At 36.9% G+C, this 20,506-nt stretch overlaps 1 long non-coding RNA gene across 7 annotated transcripts in view; it reads left to right on the top strand.

Moving 5' to 3' along the window:
- LOC105377989 (uncharacterized) overlaps positions 1-20,506 on the top strand; it is a 347,578-nt gene that overhangs the window by 297,828 nt on the left and 29,244 nt on the right. For 4 of the 7 annotated variants that reach the window (XR_002956387.2, XR_007059747.1, XR_007059746.1 and 1 more), the window contains one exon: positions 3,999-4,066. The exons of the other annotated variants lie outside the window; for them this stretch is intronic. This is a non-coding gene — a long non-coding RNA (uncharacterized LOC105377989). The remainder of the gene's footprint in view (positions 1-3,998; positions 4,067-20,506) is intronic. 7 annotated transcript variants of the gene reach the window in all.

Below are 20,506 nucleotides of genomic sequence, written 5' to 3'. Positions count from 1 at the left end.
TAAAGATTTTGAAGCTATGGCCCAAATTGTAATTAGCATACTTGTTACTGGCACTGAATTCCTTCTTTCCAGGAAACAGATGTAAGAGCAAAGCTGAAAGTGATAAAAATTTCATTCTTCATCACTATAGAAAATCATTCAATGATACTTTTTCATTTCTACTCTTGTCATTCACAGCACAATTTTTTAAACAATATTTCCTGTTCATGCACAAAAACAAGCAGCAGCTAAAGCCCTGAAAATGCATGCCTCCATACTGCTAAGATGGCAGGCAGCCCCTGATATACAATTTAATCTGTATCTTGAATGTTCTAATAACATGATCCTTTTGGCTGCAATGAACCAGCTGAAAAATTTGAATTGTTGATGTTGAGTTAACAGTCAGAGAAAACTCAACAGTGACCGACAGCCAGTGGGAAGAGTGATAAGATTTGACACTGGTCTAAGTCTAAGCAAAATATAATATTTTATTTCAGGTTCTTTAAAAAGCATAAACCTCTCAACTCAGGAGTTGTTTTGGGTTTACCCCAAGATAGACTGAGCAGCTGATGAAAGAGCCATTACATATCCAGTCACAAGAGGCTGCCTTCCTTTAACTGGCCAATGAGCGGCTGAGATCTTAGTCTGGCTGGCAGTGTTGGCTGTATTATTTGGTCAATCAACCATTACAGCTAAAGAGCTCAGTTGGCTAATTTTTTTGTTTTGATTTTATTGGACTTGATCAGCAGTTGGAATGAATGTACTAAGTCAGCTGGTTGTACCATTCGCTTTGACTCATTATCTAGGCTTCAGTGGAGTAAAAAACTACATGCAATTCATGGTAGACCAAGTAAATGTATGTGGATATCTATGCATACATAAAAGGACCTATCTCTACCTTTTAATGTTGTTTTATCTTTGAGTTGGGGTAGGAAATTTTGTAGCTTTTAAAACTTTATTTCTTTCTTACTGGCAGAGATATTTGCAATATTTTCATTCATGCATCATAACCATCATCATCACTATCATTATTCAGCTTAAACAGTCAAAAGTCCTAGAAAAAGAACAGGAAGATAAAAAATCTTTATTTGTATTTCTTCCCATATTAAGAAATCGGACAAACAGCTTTTTATCTTCCTAGCTGAATGGCATACTTTTGCTCTTGAACACATGGTATGTGTTGTTGTTAAACAGAAGAGTGTCTGGTAGCTTTCAATGAGAAATCTGTCAGCTTTTACAGTGGCTGAAATTACAGCTTGACCAAATTCTTTAGTGAATTTGTAGAAACTCCTTCTCTCTCTCTGCCTCTTTTCTCTTTTTTCCTTTTCTCTCCTCTTTCTCTGTCTTCCCCCCTCCCTTCACTTTTACTTTTAAACAAAATTCCAACATAAAAATACCATTTTCCAGATTATACTCCTATTCACAGCTTATTTCTAAATCTAGGGCAGATATCTCTAAGATATTTCTAGGAGTTGATCAAAGAGTTGGAGGATCTTTGCTGTTATGATAGACTTAAAAGTTGAAGATCATAAAGTTTGAGAGTGGAGTGATGATAGAGTCAGTATGTTATTTGATGATTAAAGCTCATAAATACTTGAGATGATTCTGTTGGGGGGAATATAGAAAAAAGATATGGTAACTCAGGGAATTAATAAAAATAAAGGTTTAAATTAAATGGAAAGGGGAATGGTTTACATTTTCATATTCACAAGTATTGGATGCGGAAATTAGTATTGAATCTGGGAATGAACAACCTGATTGGTATATTGTCTGAGCCAGCATTGGAGTCACTCATCTATGTCATAAATGACTAAGCATTGTGGGTAAGGAAAAGTATGGCATAGCAACCAATTTGGTGTTGGTGAATCCTAGAACCTGGAAAGGGGAAAGGATTACATTGGCATATCAGTCAGAGCTGCCCATATAGTATAAGGCCCATATAATTATTATAAAGAACCATGTAATCAGAAGGGACCATATAATTTAAGGGCCAAATAGGGTCTGTGAATATTGACATTTTCTTTCTAATTAATACTCCTTGTGTCAATTTAATGGTCTTGTGATTGCTTATATGATTACTGCCCTGATAATAATATATCAATAGTGAATGGGTCTCACAAATGGAAACCCAATTCAATAAACATGTATTGAACACCTAGCATGTGCCAAGCACTGGACTAGGTGCCATAAGCCAAAAGAAATGTGAGATGTCATCTTTATATCCAAAGACTTCACAATGGTTCAAAGCCACACCACAATTTTTGTAGTTAACTCACAACACTTTTTCCTTTAAGTTAACAATGTATTTTAAAAAGTAAAAGTTATCATGTAACAAAATCAACAGCATTATAGTCAAAGAAAGATGTCTCCATTTTGTCCTTGCTACCAGTGCGCATGCACACACACTTGTGCATGCACACAGATGCACACACACATGTAGACACACACGGTCCACATTTTCTTTTATTATTTTATTATTTTTTTGAAGTTTAAGAAGGATTCAACTTCTTAGGCTGTGATATTGGTTAAATATTTCTGGACATGTATCAATTTTTATATAAAAATCATAACCATCGGTAGGGATGGTACCAGGTTACAACAACAAAAAAATCATAACCAGCTACCATTAACAGAGGAATTAGATTGTAACCTCTGTTTTCCTTTGGTGAAATGACACCTCCTTATGTTATGACACAAAATGTTGATTAAAGAAGATTGCATGCCATTAATCCTTTCCTACCATCAGTTTACATATCATTAACATGGTCTTCTCTTTTTGGTTTCTCTGTCTTTTTAGGGTACATGAAACACTTTTAGCTAAAGGAGTTTTATAGTTCATGTAGCATTTTTAGTGGAAAGTTGTTTTCAGAATCATGTTTCATGCAAAGGAATATCTTATGGCACTGTTTCTATGTGTACAAACTAAAGAAGTAAATCTATAATTCTGTGGTTTCCTTTAACGACCACATTATTGTTTATTTCTATACGTACTTATATACTGGTGATGCCAACTCAAGTAGGCATTATTCGAGTATATTATAGCATCCAGATACTACAAGAACATTTAAACTGGATGAGGCTTTAGAGATCCCTTTACAGATGAGGAAATCAAGGTCCTAAAGGCCTTAGTGACTGCCTTAGTTACTAAGTCAGCTACCGGCTCAGCTGAGACTCATTTCTCTTACTCTTATTATGGAGCTTTGTTTTTTAGGCTGTGCCTCACTATATCTGCTCTGGTAAACCTTACCAGGTCTTTCATTCATTCAATAAAGGTTCACAGGGAACCATCTAAATGCATAATGCTACCATCAGCGCTGAGGCAGGGGACTACAGACTGTCATAGTTAAGTAACAGCATACAACAGACTATTACTAATGTTGACATCAAAAAGAGTATGACAATGTATTAAAGGAAAGAAGGGATAGGATCCTTTTACCTAGAGGTATTTAGGAGATATCTTGCAGAAGCTGGATTTTAGTGGGGAGCTAAATGATCATGAAGAAATTAGCCCTTCAAAATAAGAGCACAACAGGACAGTGGTTAGAGAAATTTAAGAGTTCACAGCATGATGGATCCTAATGTTTAACCAAATTAATCTGTGTAACTATTTTCAAATTTATAATAGCCACACCCTTTTTAAACGGTGCTTTGAAGTTAACTTATGACTTCAAGGGTTAGACTGTTTGCTTGCTCCCACCATCATACCCCCAAAATCACCTTGTTGGTTGTTCAATGACTTAACCTGTTATCATTTCCAATCCCCTTATGTAGTAGATTTGCCTTTTGTTTTGCTTCTACCTTTTATGACGGCACACTCTTAATTTCTCCTGTCACTTTCTGAGTACCTGCTATTAATTTGTTTACATTAGCACCGACTAATTGTGTTCGGTTTTTTTAGAGCTTAGTCTCAGAAAAAAATGGGAAAATTAAGATACTACCTTGTCTAGTACTTAAGGTGATTGGGAGTTATGAAATGGTTTTGGTGATATAAGGTGTTTTCCTTTTCATTTTCCACACAGATAGAAATGCAAAACAATATTTGTAATAGTCTGTGCTCACGCTGCTATAAGGACATACCCAAGACTAGGTAAGTTATCAAGAAAAAGAGGTTTAATTGACTCACAGTTCCATGGCTGGGGAGGCCTCACAATCATGGTGGAAGATGAAGGAGGAGCAAAGTCACATCTTACATGGCGGCAGGCAAGAGACTGCCTTTTATAAAACCATCAGATCCTGTGAGACTTATTCACTATCACAAGAACAGCCCAGGAAAAACCCATCCCCATGATTCAGCTACCTCCCACAGGGTTCCTTCCATGACACATGAAGATTGTGGGAGCTAAGATTCAAGATGAGATTTGGGTGGGGACACAGCCAAAACATATCAAAATTTAACTGCTATTTCTCCTTATGTAGTTGAGAATCTGAATAATATTATATGAGATAGAATGATAGAGTTTCTTTTGCAAATGTCGAAGTCATGCTTGTAAAAAGTATCATACATAACCTTATATTGAGGCTTGTCTAGAGATGCAAATGACAAAGATGATCTCTGGTTAACAGTTCTACCTTGGATCAACTTATGCTTCATCAATTTACCTTCTACATACTGTTCTTAAATTCGCAATATAAAGTTTCTACAGAGTTTGATTAAAAGATTGCTATGATAGTGATAAACATGGTTGTTAGAAACTATAGGAAATAATGAAAAACTTGGTGTTACTTTTTCCTCTACATAATATGAAATAATTATCTTGATGGCCTTTTTTTTTTTGAGCTGCCATTGTAATTATTGAACACAAGAACTCCACCTTTTCATAGCTGTGGTCTGATACAAATATATCATTGTTGCCCCTTGCAACTAGCTTGCTACCTTAGAAAAGTTTTATGTCTCCATCACCTTGTGAGCCAGTAGAAATAGCTGAAAGGTGTGAAAAGATGATCCCATCTCACTTTCTCTTCCATATCTTCCACAGATGCATCTAAGTGACAGAATCTAATTTTTATCCAGAATCTTAGATACAAAGCACTCTAGAAAAAGATGCTGCATTGCATGAAAGTGCATTACAGAACAATGAGCTAGAATTTGAACACAACAGTCTACAGTAGGCAGTATAGTGACAATACAAGTAAAGAAAACCAGCTAACTCAAGATTCTTAGGAGAAAATCATGTTAAAGTTAGATAGTTACTGCCTGAATAGAGGAAAGCATGTTCTGGGCAGAAGAATTCATACTTAAAAGATTCTGAGGTGAAAGGATGTAACATTGAGGAGACTGAAAGTAGTTTGGTATGCTGAGCGGGTAGAAACACTAGAAAAGGAACTGAAGATGAGGTGAGAGACATAAGCAGAGCCAGATGGCTAAAGGCCTGGTAATCATCAGCTCATTAAGAAGTGTTAACTCTTATTCGGTAAATTATGGAGGTTCAGCAGGAAGCCTGGTCATTCTGTGTTTCATCTCCACTCTCATTCTAACCAGAATGGAAATTTCCCCTCCTTCACTTTTAATTTCTTGTTTTGGAACAAAACTGGACAAATACTCGTGACACCAGGCCTAGGGCAGAGAACCCAGAGACGTGAAGCTTTTATTTTATTCCACCCACCAAGAAAAATGCAAAAACTATACGTATTCCTACCAATCTGAAGCAAAGGCCCTTATGTCATCAGGGAGCAAGTGATGCAGAATTGTGCTAATTTAATAATATATCAGTTTTTGCAAAATTTTAGGAGAAGAAGCATTTATAGAAATTAAGTACTTTTCGCATCCTCTGAGGCAATTGTAAAAATGTTTGGTTTTTTTGGAACACTTCAAACTGGTTGAAAGGTTATTAACAAAGTGACCGATACAACAACAGCAACATCTTATTAATATAATGGCTTCTTGGTACACTTTTAAAGAAGAGTTAAATTGAAAAAGCCCTTTAAGCATCACCAGTTACCTCCCTTCCTCTCAAGCAGAAATGTAGCTAATACACCGCAATATTATTTGCTGTAACTGAAGACAACTATGTTAGTGATTACTCTCAATTCTCTACCTTCAATGCCAGGCAGATATTTCCTATATTTAGACTAAATTCATTCTACATATCTCAAACATTCATTTAACCTAAATTCATTCTATATAACTCAAAATATGTGTGTATGTAAATAATAAATACTTGATTATTAGTGAATGTACACTAGCATTTCATGACCTAGAACTGTTATAATCATCTTAGCCTTTTTGCAGAAAACATCTTAATTTCACATCTTTCCTCAAGCCAGAAATTGTTCGCTAACATTTCTTTCTAGTTGATTTTTAAGGTTCTACTTTGCATAGATAGATATTAATACAAATAACTTCTGCTGCCCTGTCATCAAAATATATGGAGAACTGTGTATATGTTAATAAGGCCTCTTTCAAAAAATATTTCTGAGTAATGTGCTTCTTTACAAGAATGCTGGCAAATTTGAGTAGGCTGCACTTTCTCTAATATTTTATATCCATTAATAGAAGGCACATATAAGAAAACAAATATACGAAGAAGCTCAATGATTTATCTATTAGCCTTACTTTGACTATAGCCTTATCAAAAAAGTGAGTTTAGCTCTCTTTTCTTCCAGCCATGTCTTTTTCCCTAAACTCTACTATAACCGAGGGAAAAAATTGCTGACTTTTACCCTTCTGTATTCAATTCTGCAACTGAAATATGAACTTTTAAACCTAAAAATTCCACTGGAGCATTGGTAAATAGCAGGAGTAACACATATCCAAGGGTGTTCACGTTTCTGGCATGTGAAGCCTCACAGAAGAGAGCTTATTTTATATTGGTCTTTTGTATTTTTACATTTAACTGATTGAGTCAATGGAAACCAGCCCTAATTGTTGCTTTATAGGCGGACGATGTTTTCCATCACTGGCACATACTGAACTAAACCTTCGGGGAGTAAAACAGGGCTAGGCTGCTGTTTTCTGTTACTCTGCAAATCAGAAAAAGATTGGTAGTTCTGATTAATCTTTTATTTCGTTTAGTTGCCTACACAACACCCTGCCAAATTACTTTATAATAAATAATAAAAGTCACTGAGAACTATGTGTTTATTCTCACCACCAATGCAATAAAAGATTTTCTATAAATGAGTTATTTCTAATAAAGTACAAAGCTTGAAGAAAATTATTGAAAGCAAATTTGCCTTATGCTTTTATGTTAGTAGAATATCCAAAACTTAAGAATAAGTTCAACTAATGATGATGTGATTTTAAAGGTTCTAAAAAATTTAAAGCAGCAAAACAACTCCAAATGTATCTCTTCATGTTGTAAAATAGCATTTAATGAATAAAACTTACTATTAGGGTAAACAGGATGCTATTCAGGTTTTTCACAACAGTGGACTTCAGAAATCTAATTTGTTGAGTATGTTAGAATAACATTTTTTTTAAATGTGCTAAAATAAAACAAGCATTTGACTCTAAACAATAAAAGACTGCATTTAATAGCAAACAGAGCACAGTGTTGCCATACACACTTTCTCAATGGGAAAATGAGTTAATGAGGTCATCCTTATGCAAGAACATGAGGAACATCAAACTATGATTACTACTAAGCACATGTGTAGTTCTTTGCAAAACATAGAATTCCTTATATCCATTTTTGTTAATGCTTCCTCAGCACCACCAATCACTACTCCCATTTTTTACAGATGAGGACGTCAAGGTAGAAAATGAGTAAATTATTTACCCAAGATAGCAAATTAGTTTGTGTCCATGCCAAGATTTAGCTCATCAGCAGAGTGATTCTTATAACAAAGGGCCACGGCTCTGCGCCTCTCTACCTTCCTAGCTGCAGTAATACAGTAGACTTACTGAAACATGATGAAGAAAGAATTATTAGCAAATGTGACATCTGGAAGTTGTTTCAATAGTGCAGAATGTTAAAGCAAGTGTGTGGGGGTAATTAATTGATTTAGCACATTTAAGGGAAGTTTCTTCTCAATTACAATACTTGCTGGGAAACAATAGTGTACTAAAAAACAGCACTTTTTCTATGGCTAGAGTTACCATTATGCCATTTCTTTCTCCCTGAGTCGACGACATAGGCACTTAAGTTGAGGGTTTGAGCTATAAAATTTGTCTGAAAATGCTAGTCAATAGGATATTGGATAACTTTCTGGAAATTTTCAAAAGATCTGCTCCTAATACATTAAATTATATGGCTTCAGATGTATTTAGTTATTTTGCTTAACTGTTACAGTGACTTCCCTCACCTAATAATTCAAACACCTCTTAAACTACTGAACCATTAGGACATGCCCTGATTCTATAAGCTGCAGGTTACAAGAGTATTTTACACAGTCAAGACCTTTTAGAACTCAAAGCCTTCCTCTATTATATATTAAATGGCTACTTTACTGAAAGACAAAATCGTACATGAGGGTGAGCCCAGTGGTATTAATAGCAACAAACCAAACCAAACCAAAACAAAAAAATTATAGTCACATCTAGATCTATGGCAAGAACAGTTAAGTAACCATGCTATAGAGGCTGCTGTGCTTAACTGAAGCTGAAAATAATTTGAAGATAAATGAGTAGATGCAGTAAAAAGTTTCTAAAACATGTGGCTTCCAACCAAATTGTACAAGTCTTATATGATAATAGCATCAGCCTTGGTTCCCAAGAAAGCACCTTATTTCATGTTCGGTCTAATAATTAAAGAAAAATAAAGGAAAAAGAATTGGCCCAAAGACCAGGATGTGAGTTAGTTGATTAAATGAGCATTTATGAGTATCAAGTATGTGCTAGGCACAGGAGCTCACAGACACATAAACAAGTAATTGCAAGATACGGGGAGAAAAGGCAATAAGAAAGTGGTGGGAGAGTGCACCAGACAGCGACTGAGCCATGGATTGCGTGGGAGGGGAAAGATTCAGAGAAGATCACATTTCTGCTGACAGAGGACAATGTGTACACAGGCTCAGAGTGAGACAAAGGAAGTGTGACCTGGAAAGGCTATCCAAGTTCTTCATAGTATTTTATCGTTTTTTTTTCCCCCTGGTGAATTCAGTACATTTCAGAGTCTATACTCAGCCCTGCAGACTTAATCATTCAGTCTTTAGTGTTCCAGACTTGAAAGAATGGGGAAGATAAATGCAGACCAGCAAACCTCACTCACAAAACACGATATAAGGAACTAGAATTCTAATTTATTTATCTACTATGATAAATCTAATTTATTTGCACAAAACCTTTGTGTCATCCTATATAGAGAAGTCTGTCCCCATGTAGAAGACTAGAATTATCAAAAATTGCTTTGTGAGATCAGAGGAAGAGCATCTGCTTTAAATGCAGAATGCATATGAGCCTTTCATTGTGATAACATGCAGAGTATGTCCCTATGTCAGTGACATCCTGACCCACAGGACACCCTCTCCTTACAAAATGTTTATGGCCAAACTTATGTCCTCTTGCTTCCCCTCTTCCAAATAGCTCCCCACTCTCATCTCCAACCTGGGTGACAGAGCAAGACCCTGTCTCTAAAAAGAACAAAAAACAAAAGGTCATTCCATTATTCCATGAAGTTAATAATGAAATACATTTCTGGTTTTATGTTGATTTTGTATGTGTTTTCTAATTCATTTTATATTGATTTTAATATTTGAACCCTTAATTGGAAACACACTTCCAAGTTTTTAGAGAACATCTAACTGCCTTGCAGTATATTACAAGTTAGGAGTGTTCAGCATACCTGAAGTACAGAATACTTAGAGAAGAAGAGTGTTTATTGAAGGTGTAGAGATAGAACGAGCTGATAAAGGGCCACTAGTCTCTCGCTACTAAGAGAGGTCAGAACCTGTAAATAATCTGGGGGAGGAGGTGAGAAATGACAGTTTTTATGTAAAAAAGTGATTGACGTAGTCACAAGGAGAGTGAAGAGAACAGGTGGGAGTTAGCTGAGGGCATTCATGTGCATGTAGACATTGATTTTCAAACTCTGGTCAAAACATACACCTCCTGTCGGCTAAGAAATAAAAACCATAGTCACAAAACTATCAACCACAGGGAGATGAGACAGGAGGGACATAGGAGTGATGTCATGAGGGCCTTGTATAATTTGCTAAAAATCTGGAAATATTACTGAAGAAATTTACACATAGGGAGTGACCTTAGTTAGCAGATTTGCCCTTTAAAAGATATTCCTAGTGGAAATTTTTTAAAAACGTGTATTAGGATGCACGAAAAAAGGCAAGGACAAAATGTACACAGCTTCTGTGGTAATACAAGTAATAATTACTGATGGCCTGAACCTGAGGATGTCAGGGTAGAGAAGTGACAAATTAAAAAGACCCAAACAAGTACAGAGACTAGGACCTGATGTCCTAGATTGATGGGGGAGCGGGCTAGGGGAGGGAACAGAGGATAGTTTGACAAATGGAGTACACAGTGATGCTTTGCATTGTGGTAGAATGTGTAGAGAGCAGCAAGATTTGAGAAGATACTAAGTTCGTTTTGGACATGTGTTTGAGAAACCATTTAGGCATTCATTTGGAGAGATTCAGTAGAGAGCTGTAGGTTTGAATCTGGACTCCAAAAGAGAAGGTACAGACTGTAAATAGGGACTAGAAGCCACATTTAGGTAGTGGATGGAACCATGAAACTTGATGAGAGAGAATGTGTATTGAGAGAGTGTGTGCAGATTGAGAAAATGAAAGTAGCCAGTGTTTCTGGACAGCACAGTTCAACCATAATAAAGAGCTGTGTGGAAGAATAGGAATCTTTTAAAAAGAATAAGTAAGAATGGCCAAAGAGGAAGAAATAAAAGCAGAAGTGCTTGTAGTTATGGAAGTCTCAAGGAGGGAATGATCTATAGTATCAAATGCAACAAGGAAGGAAAACATCACATGGAATAAAACATCATTGGATTTTGAACAAAAAATTATTTTTGACCCTGGAAAGGGAGTTTCAGGGAATTTCTGAGGGCAGTGGAAGGAGGGATTAATGGGAGGTAAAGAATTGAGATGACAAATGGAATCTACCGTTTTTTAGAAGATAATCAATGGAGGAAAGAATAAAGACGTGACATTGACTAGAGAGGAAGACTTCCCAGATCCTTCTTTCATGAGCTCTAGTGGTACCTGAGCACAGCAACATTTTAACACTTAACCATCTTGCCCTGCAATTGATGACTTAGCTGGTTTCCTCTGAGGGAAAGATTATTGAAGGCAAGGAGTGTATTTTATCTGGTTATGACTCTTAAGCCCATCTGATGCTTTGTAAGTGGTCACTAAGTAAGTAATGAATGAGGAGGATGTGGAACTGAGGGATAACTTTTCAACAGCTGAAAGGAAATAATCAATAGAGAGAAAGAGGCTTAAGAGAAAGTTAAGAAGAAGTAACTGACAGAGCAGGGATCCTTATTTGCCTGTAGGTTGGGGTCCAAAGCATAGTTGGAAGCTTTTATTTTTGCACAAAGAAAAGACTTTTTTTCCCCCTCTGAAATGGAAATGAGGTGAGGATAGATTCATATGTGAATCAAATGTGTAGATGTGGGGTCAGGAAACTGAGGAAATTCATTCTGAGACCCTTGCTTTCTTTAGTGATGTGGAAGCCATTAATTGGGTAGCTAATAAATGCCAGGCATAAACATTTCCAAATATTGATTCATTTGTGAATCTGTATTTATAAGAGAGATCTGTATTTAGCATTTTTTTATAATGTTTGTCAGATTTTGCTGTCAGAATTATCCTTGATTCATGTAATAGATTTGATTGCTTTCCATGGTTTTTTTTCCCTATGTTCTGGAACAAATTATGTAGAACTGAATTTACTAGTTCCTTTAGAGTTTCAAACAATTCACTAGTAAAACAGTCCCTGGAGAATTTGGAGTAATTTTTTGAAAAGTTTTCCATTATGCCAATGGTTCTTATTCAATTCAGGTTATACTTTTTTTTTTTTTTTTTTTTGAGACGGAGTCTCGCTCTGTTGCCCAGGCTGGAGTGCAGTGGCGTGATCTTGGCTCACTGCAAGCTCTGCCTCCTGGGTTCACGCCATTCTCCTGCCTCAGCCTCCCGAGTAGCTGGGACTACAGGCGTCCACCACCACGCCCGGCTAATTTTTGTATTTTTAGTAGAGACGGGGTTTCACCGTGGTCTCGATCTCCCGACCTCATTATAAATATTTATTGCTAGTTTATGTCTTTCATGAACATCTTCCTTTTCACAGTTTTACATATTTATTAGCATTACATTGTCTTGCATTGTAATCTCTTATACATTTTATTCTATTTGCTGTCTCTACCCTTTCTCTTTCTAATTCTATTTATTTGTCTTCTTTTCCTTAATCAGATTTTTAAGAAACCTTTCTAATTTAATTTTATTGCCAATAATTCATGGGTTTATTTATTCTATTTTTTCTTGATTTTAATACATTAATTTTTCCTTTTAAGATATTTTTTCTTTTATTCTTATTTTATTTTATTGTTTTGTTAATTCTTGCTTAATAATGTATATCTTTAAAGTTGTGAAGTTTCCTCTGAACACAGGCTTTTTCATTGACTCCTCTAGGACTGCTTTCTATTATTTTGTTTTTGCCAGATAACTCTTTGATCTACTTTTTATTTTTATTCTTTGTCATTGCAGTTATTGGAAGTAGCATAGAGTTGAATTGTTCTATCCTAATCAGCAAAGCTTTACATATGAGTTGACAAACAAAGTTCACAAATATTGATGTTAAATTATTTTAAATTCTAACTTTTAATTACAAGAAAAGAACCTATATTTTCTCTTCTGATACAATTTAAAAACAAAATAATTAGAAAATAAAGGCAAGAAGAAACTTCTAGTAGTTAGTAGAAGTTTATTCGGGATGTGATGAAATAAAATAGGCTATTTTTTCACGCAACATTTTATTTAACCTGTTTTCACAAGTTTATGTTAACATCATAATTTTGTTACAAAGAGAAAAGTATAAAATAGGAAAAGAACAATATAAAGACTTTGTTTATCATGTAAAATAAGAAATTTAGTGATTTTATTTTATCTACCACTACTACTTAATAACCTTGAAAATAAAATCTAGGCTTACATACCTGAGTTCTTTTTGTCATTAAATTATATTTTTATGTTATGTATATTTTTAAGAATAATTTTATTTGAATTCAATAATATTTTGTTTATAAAACAATTATACTTAAGTTGAAGCATTTCATTGGAATAGAATACTGAGGAAAGTCTTCATAACGCTATTTTCTCATACTTAAATTTAAATTAGTAAATTAGTCTGTCACTCAGTGATTTTGAGTTTTTCAGGAGCAGAATATGAGTTGTATATTTTCTGACCTCTTATATAGTTGATCATACTTTACTATTGAATTCATATGGAATTCATGAATTATGATATTTTATCTCACAATATTATTTATAGTTCCACTTTCTTCCATTTTGTATAGGACAAGTCTAATTGTAATTTTGTTCCTTTGAGCATGTACAGGAATAATTTTTGAGATATTTAAGCCATATATTTTTTCCTAGATTTCTCACAGCTCTCACAGCCACTGACAGTCATCATTGCTCACGGGTAGAGAAGGGTCTAAAGGTAAAAAAAAAAGTGATTATTCAGCTTTGAGTTTTAAATTAAAAACACAGTCTGTATAATGACACACTAATTTTGAAAGGTAAGCTTCATTGCATTCCATAAATTCCAAATCTTCCTTTTAGATATCAGAGTAGATTTTGCAAATCTGATCACTGTTTTACTCTGCACCAAAATAGAGAGTGAAGTTTGCTTTGGTGTAGGAAAGTTCCAGAAAATAGGAAAGAGGAAGGTTTGAGAAGGACCAAGTTGTTGTTAGATATTTCTATTTGTTCTTTCCTCTTCATTCATCCCTACCCCATGGTCAGATCTCAAAGAGGCATGGCAATGTACATAATAAAAATAGAAAGTTAAAAAAAATTCCTAAGCAGAAAGCCTAGTGTCTCACTTTTTGAAGAGCAGACCAGAAAACTGAAAAACATAGAGAAACTCTGTGTTTGGCAATTGTCTAAAAGAAAAATGATGTCAACCAAGTGACATAGTAAAAATACCTGAGGGAGGTATCTTGACAGAGAGCCCTTAGTTAGATTCAAGATTACCATTGCCTTTGTTTGGCATCTAGGAGACTTCTGGTTGGGAAAACAGTCGGGCAAAAAGAACTGTGAACCAAAAAAGGCCTGAGGTCCAGAAAAGGAAGCTTCAGAATGCTGGGACCTCTTGAAAGCAGGCTATACCAAAGTCAGAGACTTCAGTGGGGTATTTCTGCACAATATCTCCCCAAAACCAATGAAGACAGCAGTAACTTTGTAAACACAGGTGTGGCATGTCCAATAACTGGGTGAAATAAGGAATTTACTTTCCAGGGTAGCACATGAGGATCTATGCAGCTCAGAGGCCACTCTCTGACCTCTGTCTTATCATGAGGACATGGATACTTTCTTTGTGTGTATGTCATCTGGGGAAAAAGGAGGGAAAAGAGAATCCTTGAGAATGGAGAAGAGCACCTGACAGAAAGATGCCTAAAAATATAACCCAAAGGAACATCAGACAAATCTAAAATTAGCTCATTTCAACACACCTATTTTTTAACCATTAGTGACAATAGACTTTATATCAAGATAATGAGTTATAGAAAGTTTTGTGTGTAAATTTACATTCATTTATAGCATATAAATTTTCTGCATTTGCAAATTAGTTTAAAAAAATCTGCTTGAGCTGCTTATTGACCTGTTTCTTTTATAATACTTGAAATTATCTAACATTGCTAGGAACATCTAAGTGTGAATTTTTCAATTGAATTTCAATCTACCTCCTCATATTTTTTCAAATGAGGACAATTTATTTCTACTATAGTCTTCAGTATTGCTTCTCACCTCTCAGGAATGAGATTGGAGCACTAGGCTCTGCCATTCACATCTACTATACATCCCCTCATCTTTTTCTAAGGTTTTTTTCCTCTGTATTCTCAGAGACCTACTATAACTTGTACTTTTTTCACTCTATCTATTCTTCAAATAATGCTGATTCTTTTCCTTAATGGTTTCATGTTGGATACTGTCTTTGGCAAACAGCATGCATTCCATTCACCTCTGGTCTCCTTGTATTATAAGGTCTGGAAGCATGGAAACTGAATTTCCCAAAATCCCTTGCCAGCAGAACTCTGGATACTGTTTAAGCTCTGCTGATGAGGGTTATTCACATGAGATTTGGCAGGTAGAAGCCACACTGCTTCCTTGAGTAGGGGTGGCATATATCAGCTTTGGCAGATGAGAGTGTTTGCAATGATAGATATTCATATTGATATAGACATAGAAATATATTGCAGGAATTGGCTTATGTGATTATGGAAGCCAGAGGACTCATGGTCTGTCATCTGCAATCTGATGGACAAGGAAAGCTAGTTGTGTAACTCAGTTTGAGTCCAGAGGCTCCAGGGGTGCCGATGTCCTAGGACAGGTGAAGATGGATGTTCCAGCTCCAACAGAGAAAGTGAATCCACCCTTTACCTTTTTATTCTATTCAGGTCCTCAACAGATTGGATGATGTCACACATTGGTAAGGGTAAATTTATTTACCTAGTCCACTAATTCAAATGCTAATCTCTTCTAGAAACATGCTCATGCACATACCTAGAAATAATGTTTAGGCAGCTATCTGGGCAATTCTTAGTCCAGTCTAGTTGACACATAAAGTTAATAATCACAAACTAATGCCTTGTAAACTTGACACCTGTACACATCTTCCTAAACTATACTTAATCTCTGAAAACAAGGTCATAATTCTGCCTGACATGACACAACTATCCTGCATACAATAAAAAATGTGCTAACTCCTTCCCTAGGAGGGAAGGTAAAGTACTTGAGTGATGTCTATTCTTCTCCTGATAGCCTATAACTCAAATACTATAATGTGAAATTAATGATACTTAAATACAATATAAAGTCAACACATCTCATGTTACATGATAAAAGAATTAGAAGGGAAAGAAAATGAAGATAATTGCTTTATATATATGTATATATATAGATACATACACAAATATATTCATAAAAAAGAGGAAATATTCATGAAAATTACAGTCCTTGTTGCTATAACTTGTCATGTGGTCACAGCTGGTGCCTGTAACTCCTTCTACCACTCATTCTTCTACCCATTCTATTTTCTTTACCTTCAGCAAGCGCCTCAGTGGGTCATGGGTCTTTATCTGATGGAGTGACCCAAATTTTCATTCCTGAAGAGTCTGGGCCAGTTGTTATGTTGTTATAGTTTTCCATTGACTGTAATCACAGGACATGGTAATACTAAGAGACACCCTAAGGCAGGGGTCCTCAACTCCCAGGCCCTGGACCCATACCAGTCTGTGGCCTGTTAGGAACCCAGGCCACACAACAGAACGTGAGTAGTGGGTGAGTGAGCATTGTTACCTGAGCTTGCCTTCTGTCAGATCAGCAGTGGCATTAAATTTTCATAGAAGCATGTACTATATTGTGAAATGCACATGTGAGGGATCTAGGTTGCATGCTTCTTATGAGAATCTAACAAATGCCTGATGATCTGGGGTGGAACAATTTCATTCTGAAACCATCCCCATACCCATCCATGGAAAAATTGTCTTCTACAAAACCACTCCCTGATGCCAAAAGAGTTGGGGACCACTGCCCTAAGGGATCTCCTGTATTTCAGACATACTCTTCCTTACCTCCATTGTATAGAAGTAGTCCAAGTACTCTTTCATAATCCAGATCAATCACCCCAGCCAATACCATAAATCTCTTCTTTGCCTGTTGACTCAGAGGCGTAAGGAGCCCAAAGTGACCAGGTGGAAGTCTTCATGTACAGTTCAATGGATTATTGTTGTGTTTCCTGGTGGGAGTAGTTCTCCCTCTGGAACTAAAACTTCTAGGCCAGCAGAGCATAAAGTCACAAAAACGTGGAGCAGAAATGTTGCTAGTGGGTCACTAGGGGTAAGAGCGAGTGGTCTCATTCCCATTTTCCCACCTTGATTCCTGGATCTATAAATCCCAGCTATCAGAGAAACAGCATCGTATATTAGATGCTGACTCAACATATACAGCCTTCTGGAAAACCTAGCCCCACCCTGCAAGGCATTACCACATAGCTGACTCTGTAACTGTGTCTTCAAAAGGTCATTCTGTCGCTCTATCAAGCCAGCCACTTCATGATGGTGGGGAACATGGTAAGACCAATGAATTCCATGGGCATGGGCTTATTGCTTTATCTCTTTTGCTGTGAAGTGAGTTCCTTGATCAGAAGCAATGCTGTATGGAATACTATTACAGTGCATCATTCATTCTGTAAATTCATGGATTGTATTTTTAGCAGAAGCATTTCAAGTAGGGAAAGCAAATACATATACAAAGTAAGTGCCTATTTCAGTAAGGATAATTTGCTTCCCTTTCTATGATTAAAGTGGTCAAATGTAATAAGCCTGCCACCAGATAACTGGCTGATTACTTTGAGGAATGGTGCCTTATCAGGGGTTCAGTGTTGGTCTCTGCTACTGGCATATTGGGCACTAATCAGTGGCTACAGCCAGGTTGGCCTTGCTGAATAGAAGTCCATGTTGCTGAGCCCATGCATAACATCCTTCCTGCCATCAGGGCCACTTTGCTCATGAGTCCACTGGGCAATGACAGGGGTGAGTGGGGAAGGAAGCTTACTGGTATCCATGGAATGAGTAATCCCAGACACTTGGTTATTAAAATATTCCTCTTCTAATATCATCCTTTGGTGAGTATTCACAAGGACACAAATGTCTGTATGATTTTTTCCCATTTAAAAGAGGGTTTTCCACATACCTCTTCTCCAAATGTATTTGTTACCAGTTTTCTAATCATGTTCCCTCCAAGTCCCTGATGCTCCTACTAAACCATTAGCTACAGCCTATGAGTCAGTGTATAATAACACATATAATCATTTTCCCTTCCAATAAAAGTGTATAACCAGGTGTACTACCTGGAATTCTTCCCACTGTGAAGATTAATCTTTACCACTGCCCTTCAGGGATGTCTCAGAGAGTAGCTGTAGTGCTATAGTTGTCCACTTTTGAGTGGTGCCTGCATATCACGCAGAACCATTTATAAGCCAGGCCTGAGTCTTCTCTTCCTTTATCAATGAATTGTAGGAAACTCCTCATGAGGTCCCAGGTGCAGGCTGGGAGAAAGAAGGCAGTGTAGCAGGAGTAGGAAGCATGGGCATTTGAGCCACTTCTTCATGTACTTACTTGTGCTTTCAGGGCCTATTCAGGCTCCATCACATATATACCTCTTCCATTTGACATAGACTGTTGCTGTACATGCCCAGCTTTATGGCTTGGTGGGTCAGATAATACCCGGCTCATGTTGGGCAGCTCAGATCATATGGTAACTTGGTGGCTCATGGTCAGGAATTCAGTTACTACCAAGGTCCATTATCAGGCCAAGAGCTGTCTCTCAAAATGAGAGTAGTTATTTGGGGATGATGGTAGGACCTTGCTACAAAATTCTAAAGGCCTGTGCTGCAGGTCACCTAAAAGAGCCTGTCAGAGGCTCCAAACTGCATACTTATCTGCTACTAACACTTCAAATACCACTGGATCTGCTGGACTGTATGGCTCAAGTAGCAGAGCAACATGTACAGCAGACTGGACTTGTTGCAGAGCTTTTCTCTTTTTCTGAGCACCAATCAAAACTAAAAGCTTTTCAGGTCACTCAGTAAATGGGTTGAAGTCACACACCCAATTGAGAAATATGATTTCTTCAAAATCCCAATAGGCCCAGTAGATGTTGTGCCTCATTCTTGGTTGTAAGAGGGACCAGATGCAACAATTTATATTTTATCTTAGAAGGAATATCTCAATATGTTCCACATAACTGGGGCCCTAGAAATTTCACCGAGGTAGAAGGATTCTAAATTTATTTACCATTCTCTGACATGCAAATGTCTTATCAGTTAGTGTAGAGAAGCTGCTACATCTAGCTCATTAGGTCCGATTAACATAATGTCATCAATGTAATGGACCAGTGTGGTATCTTATGGAAGGGAAAGATGATCAAGATCCTTGTGAACTTAATTATGCCATAGAGCTGGAGGGCTGTATAGACCCCCGAAGTAGGACAGTGAAGTGCTTCTTGCCTTTCCAGCTGAAAGTAAATTACTTCTAGTAGGTTTTGTGAACAGAGATGGAGAAAAACGCATTTGCCAAATCAATAGCTACATATCAGGTAGCAGGTTATGTGTTAATTTACTCAAGCAATAAATCCATATCTGGTACAGCTGATGCATTTGGAGCCACCACTTGGTTAAGTTTATGATAATCCACTGTCATTCTCCAAGATCCATCTGTCTTTTGAACAGTGACAAATAGGAGAATTGAATGGGGATGTGATGGGAATCCACACCCCTGCATTTTTCAAGTCCTTGGTGACGGCAGCAACCACTGAAATCCCTCCAGGAGTACAGTATTGCATTTGATTTACTGTTTTCCTAGGTACAGATAGTTCTAATGGCTTCCTCTTGGCCTTTCCCACAATAGTAGGCATCATCTTACAGATCAAGGAATGAATTTTGGGATTTTGCTAACTGCTAAGTAAGTCTATTCCAATTATGCAGTTGGTAGCTGGGGAAATGATCACAGGATGGGTTCAGGGACCCACTTAGTGACCACTCAGGGATGCACTTTAATTTAAGATGGACCTAAGCTAAAACTCTATTATAATCACCTGATCTTTATAAGGCCCTATTCTGACTGGAGAGCCATTGTAATGTTTTGGGTCTCCTGAAATCAGTATAAGTTTAGAGCCAGTGACCAAAAATCCCTGAAAGGTCCGATTATTTCCTTTTTCTCAATGCATAGTTACTTGGTAAAAGGCCATGGGTCTCTTTGGGGAAGGCTGGGAGAAAGACTAACAATAAACAATTTTGGTAGTATACCAGGGTCCTTTCTTGAGTGGACCTATCCTCCCCTTTATTCAAGGGATTCTGGGTCTGCAACCTGGCTCAAATCCAGAACTTGAGGTCAGTAACTCTGTCTTTATTATTCAAGTTAGACTTTTGTTCACTTGACCCAGAATTTTTCTGCTTATACAGACCAAGTAAAAATTTAGTAGGCTTCCTATCTGTTTCACTTCCAGGAACACTGTTCAATTAGCCAGTGCTATAGGTCTGTGCGTCAGTCTTCTGATTGCTGATGTGACTCTACTGAGCACTAGAGTAACTATGGTCGCCTTGTCCTTGGTGGTTGAGTGCTGCCACTTGGGCACCCCAGGATCCAATTACTCCTGTTGCATTTAGATTTTCCAGTTGAGTGGCTGGATATGGTTCTCACTCTCTAAAGTTTGGCCTACAGGGAAGCACAATCACTATCACCAAGCTCTCTAGGGATACCAGGACTCCCTTCACAAATGCATTTCACAAAGTATTGGGGGAAAGTATGTTGTCTGAACCCCCTGGTGTGGGTGAGTAGGTCTTAAATGACAACTCCACTCTTCCTGAAGCCTTTGAATTCCTTCCTCTGTAAAACTC

This window comes from Homo sapiens, chromosome 6 (assembly GCF_000001405.40).
Source record: "Homo sapiens chromosome 6, GRCh38.p14 Primary Assembly".
Taxonomy (NCBI): domain Eukaryota; kingdom Metazoa; phylum Chordata; class Mammalia; order Primates; family Hominidae; genus Homo; species Homo sapiens.
This window is presented reverse-complemented; position numbering and strand designations above follow the sequence as displayed.